At 46.7% G+C, this 9,546-nt stretch overlaps 1 pseudogene, besides 1 other annotated feature; it reads right to left on the bottom strand.

Annotated features, from left to right (window-relative positions):
* RPL37AP1 (ribosomal protein L37a pseudogene 1) lies at positions 252 to 622 on the bottom strand (annotated as a pseudogene).
* Positions 9,419 to 9,508: an enhancer, noted in NCBI's record as "active region_17924". NCBI's record gives its function as "activates an Ori minimal core promoter by ATAC-STARR-seq in GM12878 lymphoblastoid cells {active_cell/tissue: GM12878}" and the evidence as "EXISTENCE:reporter gene assay evidence [ECO:0000049][PMID:35858748]".

Genomic DNA, 9,546 nt, shown 5'->3' on the forward strand with positions numbered 1-9,546 from the left:
TGAGACCACTGGGCCCCCTCATAATGGCCACACATTATTCTCTACATATAGTGGCCCCTCTCATGGAAGAGCCCCCATGACCCCATTCCACCCTTCCAGGGAGATGGTCACCAAAGAACTCTTTGCTTCCTCTTCCCATCCTAGGAGAATGTGGTGGGTATAGGGGTAATAGTAAATGTGGGGGTTTTGGGTAGCCATGGCCAAATTTTAGCAGCTGTGGGTTTGGACTGGGCTCTTTTTTGTTGTTGTTGTTGTTACGTAAATTAACCCATTTATTACAGGCCAGTGATGTCTCAAAGAGTAGAGGAGCGTCTACTGGTCTTTCAACTCCTTCAGGCTTCTGATGGCGGACTTTACCGTGATAGCGGAGGTGGTATTGTATGTCCAGGCACCGCCAGCCACTGTCTTCACGCGGGAACCACAGTGCCAGATCCCCGCAGCTCATCTCTTCATCTTGGTTTTGCCACAGAAAGAGCAAGTGTACTTGGCCTGCTGGCTGATTTCAACTTTCTTCACCATTTTCCAGAGGGAGGCCCCATAGCGGGTCCCGTATTTACCGACGATCCCGACTTTCTTGGTAGGTTTGGCCATGTCACCGCGAACTAGGTCCGAGCCCAGAGAGTTGGACTGGGCTTTTAAAAAACAGTTACTGGTTGTCACAGCAGAGCTTTCTAGAAACATCTTACAAGTCATGTCCACCACCCCCAGCCTCAGTTTTTTCATATCCTTACTGCGGGTGGCAGCACCTTACTGGGTGGGGGTTTGTGGTGAGGGCTGAGTGAAGTAGTGAATTTGCGGAGCTAACACTCCAGAATTCCACAATCACAGACCTGCAAATTCCATCTCCGTGGGACCATTTACAAGTGATGTGGCTTCTCTGAGTCTGTTTACTCCTTTGTTAAATGGAAGAGCCTCTACTCCATTGCATCTCTGTAAGGTTAGTTAAGTGAATACATATGACATGCTTAGCACGGGACCTGGCACCTGGTAAGAACTCAGTCCATGCTGGGCGTTTTTAATACAACGGTGGGTGGCTGGTACTGACGGAGGGGATTTGGGATCTCCACCCCTTCCGTTTCCCTCACTATTCCAGGCCCTGTTTTGGAAATGCTTCAGCCAGGCTGGGATCCAGGGCCCCTGGGAACAGAGAGGACATACTGTACCTCCAAGCAGCCATGCTGACTCAGGTTAGGAAATCAATGTGTGACCACAAAAACACAGCCAGGTTCTTCCCACTTCTGGGAAATCTGCACAGCCAACCCATGGGCATCTCTTTACCCTGTCCCGAGAGGTGGCCAGCTTCGTTCTAGGACCTGATTCTGCAGCTTGTGAGCACAAGGCTGGCACATGGAGAAACAGGAGTCTCTCGCTCCTTAGGGAACCCCAGGCCCGGGGTCACAAGCTTTGCACGACCCTCTGATTGGGGTCAAACATGTCTGGTGTTTGCGAAGCCTCTGACTTCCCCCAGCCTGCGTCTGGACACTTCTCAAGCCAAGCCAGGCTCCGGACCACTGGTTGGGCAACGCATGACCTCAAACTGGGTCAGACCCATCAGATGAGCATCTGTTTAAGAGTATAGGACACTTTGTTCTTTAGAATCCCAAGGGTCAGAGTATGAACCCTCCCCGTCCCCAATTCAAACTCCTCCTCCATCACTTACTGCCATTTACTTACTCTGTTACTTTGAGCAAGTTTTTCAGCTCTCTGAGTTCTAGTTTTCCTAGCCACCAAATGCAGACTAACAAGTACCTTCACCTTCCAGGGTTGATGTGAGATTCGGGTAGTGAATGTCAAAGAATGGCACACATATTAGCAGGCACTCCATAAGGGGGAGTTATTATTGCAAACAGGGGCACTAGACACCAAGTAAAAAACAGTATGGTACATATGCTACAGTGGATGAGAGGGCAGAGCTGAAAGCCAGACTGCCTGGGTTCCAAACCAGGCTACTGGCCAGGTGCGGTGGCTCATGCCTGTAATCCTAGCACTTTGGGAGGCCAAGGCGGGTGGCTCACTTGAGGCCAGGAATTCGAGACCAACCTGGCCAATATGGCGAAACCCCATCTCTACTAAAAATGCAAATAAAATTAGCTGGGCGTGGTGGCATGTCCCTGTAATCCCAGCTACTCAGGAGACTGAGGCAAGAGAATAGCCTGAACCCAGGAGGCAGAGGTTGCAGTGAGCCAAGATTGTGCCACTGCACTCCAGCCTGGGCCACAGAGTGAGACGCTGCCTCAAAACAAAATAATACAAAACAAAACAGGCTGCCCTGCCACCTCCTGTGTGGCCACAGGGAAAGTCTCTAAGCCTCAGTTTTCTTCTCTGTAAAATGGGAATAATCATAATACAGTTATAAGGATTCAATTAGATTAGTTGCACTGGAAACAGTGCCTGGCACATAGTATCACCTAATAACCATTAACGATTTTTTATTTTGTTTTATTTTTCCAGTCTCTGCCCCAGTTGGGAAGCATGAACTATTTTTAATTAGCCACACAAGTTAGTAATGTCGGTAATGGTGCTGAAATCACACGGGTCAGTGTTTTGAACAAAATTCACATGGAAGTCATATTTAGTGAGCATCTACCTACATACCTGGTGCTAACAGAAACCATACATTTAGATACATGTATATGTACATGTAAACACACATATGCACACACACATAGTGTGAAGTAAGTGTTGCTGTCCTCATTTTTTAAAACCTTTATATTATAGAGCAAAACAGTTGCAGAAAACCACACAAATTAAATTTGTAGCAGCCAGGTGCAGTGGCTTACACCTGTAATCCCACCACTTTGAGAAGCCGAGGTGAGTAGATCACTTGAGCTCAGGAGTTTGAGACCAACCTGGGGAACATGGCAAAACCTGAAATGCCATCTCTACGAAAAATACATAAATTAGCCAGGCATGGTTGGCACGTACCTGTAGCCCCAGTTACTCAGGAGGCTGAAGCAGGAGGATTACTTGAGTCTAGGGAGGTCTGAGGCCACAGTGAGCTGAGATCACACTACTGTACTCCACCCCAGGCAACAAAGTGAGACACTATCTCAAAAAAAAAAAATTGTAGCTTAGTGAGTTATATCAAGGCAAACACCCTGTAACCACCACCCCGGTCAAAATACAGAATTTTTTCAGCCACCTCAGGGTTCCCCTCCCCACCTCACCAGGTACTCCATACCAATCACAGCCCATCCCCCCAAAATAATCACTAATCCGACTATTAATTACTTCCTTGCATTTCTTCATGACTTAATCATCTGAGTGTGCATTCCTAGATGTTATTGTTTAGTTGAGTCCACTTTTTATTTTTATTTATTTATTTTTTGTTGAGATGGAGTCTCGCTCAACCGCCCAGGCAGTGGCATGATCTTTCTTGGCTCACTGCAACCACCGTCTACCGTGTTCAACAGATTCTCCTGTCTCAGCCTCCCCAGTAGCTGGGATTACAGGCACCCACCATCATACCTGGCTAATTTTTGTATTTTAGTAGAGACGGAGTTTCTCCATGTTGGTCAGGCTGGTCTCGAACTCCGGACCTCAGGTGATCCGCCCGCCTCAGCCTCCCAAAGTGCTGGCATTACAGGCGTGAGCCGCCACTCCCGGCTAAACATATTTGATAAGTTTCAATCAACTGCAAGTATTGTCTTTGTTGCAGCTAAAATTGTTTCATCCACAGGCTGGCTTGTAAGTCCTTTTGGTGTGACCCTGGTAGCCTTCGATAGCTTCCTTGTTAATTGGCGTGACAAGATATTCCAGGCTTATTTTGTATATTTCCTGCTACAGATCTGGAATGAGTAATTTCTTCAAGAAGTCTTTTTATTTGTATTAATCAAAACTATTATCTGGGTGCAAGATATGCTCATTGCTACAAGATTGATTATGGTTTAAGTCTTTTTAATAGCTAGAACTAGGTATTATATATATGAATACACGCATATACATTTCCTTTAAAAATAGTTTCGAGTTCACATTGATATATCCAATGTAAATAGAGTTTTATAGGATGTTTATGGAATCTATTCTGTATTACACCTGTAGTTCCTTTCTTCCACACTTGGAATCTTTCATTTTCAAGGATACAGGGGCTGATAAAATGGAAAGATGCTATAATTACTGGTTAAAATGACTCAGTAATTCACAGGGGTTAAAAACTCCTTTAAACCTTAGGTTGTGTGGCAAACACCTTACACTCGCCCACTACTGGAGTTGGCAAACGCTTTCCAGTTTCAGCTGCTGTTTTCCCAACAACACGTGAATACATGTTGCAATTTTAGCACTCTCCATGTCTCAGGCCCGCCAGACACCTTGCTGCTTCCCTTCTGTTTCTACTGCACAGAGATGCCAATGGCATGCAGGCCTTGTAGCTGTTGGTGATTTGTCCCCACACGTTTTTTGGAGTTCATGAAGATGCCTTGTCACTTAGTTTTGTTGTAAATGTGTTTATGAATTTTTTTCTATTTTTATTTGGGGATTTGGGGATATTCAAATCTATGCTAGGCATTATTGCCTCCATCTTTCCAGAATTCCCCAGCTGGTATTATTTTCACCAATGAGGAAACTGAGCCCCAGGGGAAATGTGATTTGCCCAAGATCACACAGCCAGTGACAGCGCAGAGATGCATGTGAGGTCACCTGCTTTCATGCAAGGTACAGAGAAGATGCCTGATATGGACCACTCCCTCCTCATCTTCCTCCCTATTTCCACTGGTCAGTGTCTTTACAGGATTCTGGGGGGTTTGGTGGGGGGCTTTTTTGTTTGTTTTTTGAGGTGGAGTCTTGCTCTGTTGTTTAGGCTGGAGCGCAATGGCACGATCTCGGCTCACTGCAACCTCCACCTGCCGGGTTCAAACGATTCTCCTGCTTCTGCCTCCTGAGCAGCTGGGATTACAGGCACCCACCACCACACCCAGCTAATTTTTGTATTTTTAGGAGAGATGGTGTTTCACCATGTTGGCCAGGCTGGTCTTGAAATCCTGGCCTCAAGTCATCCTCCTGCCTCAGCCTCCCAAAGTGCTGGGATTACAGGCGTGAGCCACCGTGCCTGGTCCCATGATTCTGTTATTGACAATCAAATGAAACTATCCATGCAAAGAGCTTATCACTGTACCAATGAAAGCATTCAGTGACTGGTAGCAGTTAGTATAGGATTTTATGGTTGATGAAACCAAGGGTTGGAGAGACAGATAACTGTTCCATTGTTACACAGCTGGTAAGTGACACAGGCTTTAGACTCAGGTCTGTCTGACCAGAACCTAACATTCTTTCTCCCACACTAGTTCTTAATTCAGAGCAGCTTTGTCTCCCAGCTGGTATTTGGCAATGTCTGGAGATACCTTTGGTTTTTATCACTGTGAATGTGGAGTGCTACTGTCATCTAGTGGGTAAAGCCTAGGAATGACATTAAACATCCTACAGGACAACATCTCTCCCATGCCCCCGAAACAAAGACTTTTCCAGCTCCAAATGTCAATAGTGCTAATGTTGAGAAATTATGCCCTATACTGTGGTGCCATCCTAAATAAGCCTTGCCAGGCAGGGCACGGTGGCTCACTCCTGTAATCCCAGCACTTTGGGAGGCTGAGGCAGGCAGATCATCTGAGGTCAGGAGTTTGAGACTAGCCTGGCCAACATGGTGAAACCCGTCTCTACTAAAAATACAAAAATTAGCCGCGCGTAGTGGTACACACCTGTAGCCCCAGCTACTAGGGAAGCTGAGGCAGGAGAATCGCTGGAACCCAGGGGGTACAGGTTGCACAGAGTCGAGATTGTGCCACTGCACTCCAGCCCGGGTGACAGAGTGGGACTCCATCTCAAAAAAAAATAAAAAGAAAATAAATAAAACTAAATAAGCCTTACCTTAGAATCAATACTAAGGCTGGTCCTAGGAGATTTTCTGAGCTCAGAATCACAGGCCCTGAACAGAGACAGCTCAGGCATGTCTAGCCTCCTCCAGCAGGTATGCAATGCAATGTCAAGATTTTTTTCTTCAGAGGCTGGATGAAACGAGGAGAGCAAGATGTTTGAAACCTTCCAAACCAAGACACAGGGCAAGCCGCCCCCTGGTGATCTTTCTGCTTGAGAGGGGGTGATCATCACCGATAAACAGACATTTCATGATACAATGTGCCAGAACTCTGCACATGCCATTCTTTTTTTTTTTTGAGACAGAGTCTCACTCTGTTGCCCGGGCTGGAGTGCAGTGGCATGATCTCGGCTTACTGCAACCTCTGCCCCCCGGTACAAGCGATTCTCCTGCCTCAGCCTCCTGAGTAGCTGGGATTACAGGCGTGTGCCACCACACCCAGCTTGTTTTTTTGTGTTTTTAGTAGAGACAGGGTTTCACCCTGTTGGCCAGGCTGGTCTCAAACTCCTAGCCTCAAGTGATCCGCCCGCCTCAGCCTCCCACAGTGCTGGGGTTACAGATGTGAGCCACCGTGCTCGACCTGCACATGCCGTTCTATGACATCCTCCCAAGGATCCCCTCTAAACAAAGGCCATATCCCCATTTTATACATAAGGAAATGAGTCTTTTCAAGAGGTTGTTCAGACTCCATAAATTCTGAGTGTCCAAGGCAGAGAAGACAGACATCAAATACCAGCTCAAACACTTAGTCATCATGTGACTTTGGGCAATTTTTTGTCCTTCTCTGATCCTTTTTCCCAACCTGTAGAAACAGAGACAGGGCTACATGACCTTTAGGACAAAGTAAAATTTGGGACCATGGTGTCATACAGGCTTGAATTGATACCTAGCTCTCTCTTTCATATCTTGAGCCCTTAGGAGACTTTCTCTTTCTGAATATTTTACATTATTTTATTTTATTATTATTTTTTGAGATGGAGTCTCGCTCTGTTGCCCGGCCTGGAGTGCAATGGCACAATCTTGACTGACTGCAACCTCCACCTCCCGGGTTCAGGTGATTCTCCTGCCTCAGCCTCCAGAGTAGCTGGGATTACAGGCGCCTGCCACCATGCCTGGTTAATGTTTGTATTTTTAGTAGACACGGGATTTCACCATGTTGGCCAGGCTGGTCTCAAACTCCTGACCTCAAGTGATCCACCACTTTGGCCTCCCAAATTGCTGGGATTACAGGCATGAGCCACCAAGCCTGGCCTCTTTCTGGATTTTAGTTTCCTCTTCTGTAAATGGGACAATCCTAGCTCGCTGTTCACAGGGTCATTGTAAGGTGAAATTAAGATCATACAAGCACAGTGCCTGGTATATATAATTCAAAAAGCAGAAACTCTTTTTGTTGTCATTGTTTATCGGAGATGTTCTAATCCTGATATAATCTGGTTCTCTAAAATGTAATACCAAGAGGAACAAGAAATAATGGCCCTCAGTTGAGGGAAGAGGCAGGGATTTCTGGGGCATCTCTGAATCCTCTCCCTGCCCTGCCCTTGAGACCAAGTTCTTCTCCTGCTGGCAACATCTAGGATTGCCATCTGGGCTCCAGGTACCAGTAGTAGGTCCTAGGTTTGGGTTAAGGAGAGGGGTGAATTTATTCCAATACCTAGGACAGCCTGGTTAGGACAGGGTCATCCCTCACCCTTTGCCACAAGAGCTGCCATTTGGCAGGGCGCAGGAGAATGGCTTGAGCCCAGGCAGCCTCCCAGGTGGCTGGGATTACAGGCCTGGCTAATTTTTGTATTTTTAGTAGAGACAGGGTTTCACCAGGTTGGCCAGGCTGGTCTCGAACTCCTGAACTCAGGTGATCCACCTGCCTTGGCTTCTCAAAGTGCTGAGATTATAGGCATGAGCCACCACATCCGGCTGTTTTGGGGGGTTTTCTTTTTGAGACAGAGTCTCGCTCTGTCGCCCAGGCTGGAGGGCAGTGGCATGATCTCGGCTCACTGCAACCTCTGCCTCCTGGGTTCAAGTGATTCTCCTGCCTCAGGCTCCCGCATAGTTGGGTGTGACAGCCGGAAGTGGGGGCCTCGGATTACAGGCGTGTGCCACCACGCCCAACTAATTTTTGTATTTTTAGTAGAGACAGGGTTTCACCATGTTGGCTGGGGTGGTCTCATCATACTCCTGATCTCAAGTGATCCACCTGCTTCAGCCTCCCAAAGTGCTGGGATTCCAGGCGTGAGCCACTGCACCCGGCCTTACCTTACGTTTTAAAAGATCTCACAGATGTGATTAATGTAAGGATCTTGAGATGGTAAGATTATCCTGGATTATCTGGCTGAGCCCAATGTAATCCCAAGAGTCCTTATAAGAAGAGGGAAGCAGGAGGATCAGTCAGTAGTAGAGGTGACAACAGAAGCCAGAGGTTGAGGTGATTTGAAGAAGGGGCCATAAGCTAAGGAATGCAGGTGGCCTCTACAAACTGTAAAAGGAAAGGAACTGATGCTTCCTCCAAATCCCCAAAAGAATGCAGCCTTGCCAACACCTTGATTTTAGACTTTTGACCTAGAGAACTGCAAGAGAATATATCTGTGTTGTTTCAATCCATGAAGTTTGCAGTAATTCCTTGTAACAGTAACAGGAAAATAATACATAGATTTAGCAAACAAAACAAAATCCAGGATGCCCAGTAGTCATATTTGAATTTCCTATAAACAACAATTTTTAAAGTATAAATGTGTCCCAAATGTTGCATAGGACACACTTATCTGTGTGTATGTGTGTGTGTGTTTGGAAAGGAACATGCTTAAATGTTTATCTGAAATTCAAACTGTAGTGAATGTTATATATTTTGTCTGTCAATCTTAGAAGTGATGAAACTGAGAGCAGGAGTCAAAACTCATGATTCCCAGGTCGCCTCCATACTGCTGCCCCCTGCCCCTCAATCTGGCAGAAACTGCCACGTTCTTGTGGCCCTCATGGGTCACTTCCCATCTTCTTGGGACTCCTCTTGCCCCTGGGGTAGGAAAATGAAAAGACTGTTTAAGGTCGTTTCTTTAGGCTCAGAGTTCTCCTGGACCACCAGAGGTTCTGCCTCAGAGGGACCTAGGAGATTTGCCTCAAAGTTGCAGTTGCACAAAATACTTGCGGGCGGATCTTAATGGACTGGGGTGGGAGTTAGTAAAGCCTTTGTCTGGAGGGAACGTAATGAACCCCAAAGCAGGAAAAAAGTAATTATTGAATCAGGCTCCAGAGCAAGAATCAGGTTTCAGGTAAGGAAACGGAAGCACAAGAAGGAATGGGGACTTGCTCCAGGTCACTCAGTTAATGACAGACAGATGTCCCCTGGTTTGGAGTCTCCCTTTTTGGAGCAGCTAGTCCTGATAGCAGCCATAGTGGGGGGAAGTCTAGAATGCTAATCCTGAGGTCCGGGTTTGAAGCCCTTTACTGCCTTGATTGCCAGTTTCCCTTTCCTGAAATAGGGGAATTGCATAAATATGAGGAGTTAATGAGATCATGGATGTTAAACAACAGGTACATGTTAGCATGTTCTTGGAAAATGGCAGCTTCTTTCCTTCCTTCTCTGAGCCTCAGTTTCCCCATCTATAAGCCGGGTTTGACAAGCGGCTGGTGCCCCAGCTCCTCCCAGCCACTCCAGGTCCGCAGCTCGGAGCTCCGGCAGCCAGGTGGGG

This window comes from Homo sapiens, chromosome 20 (genome assembly GCF_000001405.40).
Source record: "Homo sapiens chromosome 20, GRCh38.p14 Primary Assembly".
NCBI classification, from domain to species: domain Eukaryota; kingdom Metazoa; phylum Chordata; class Mammalia; order Primates; family Hominidae; genus Homo; species Homo sapiens.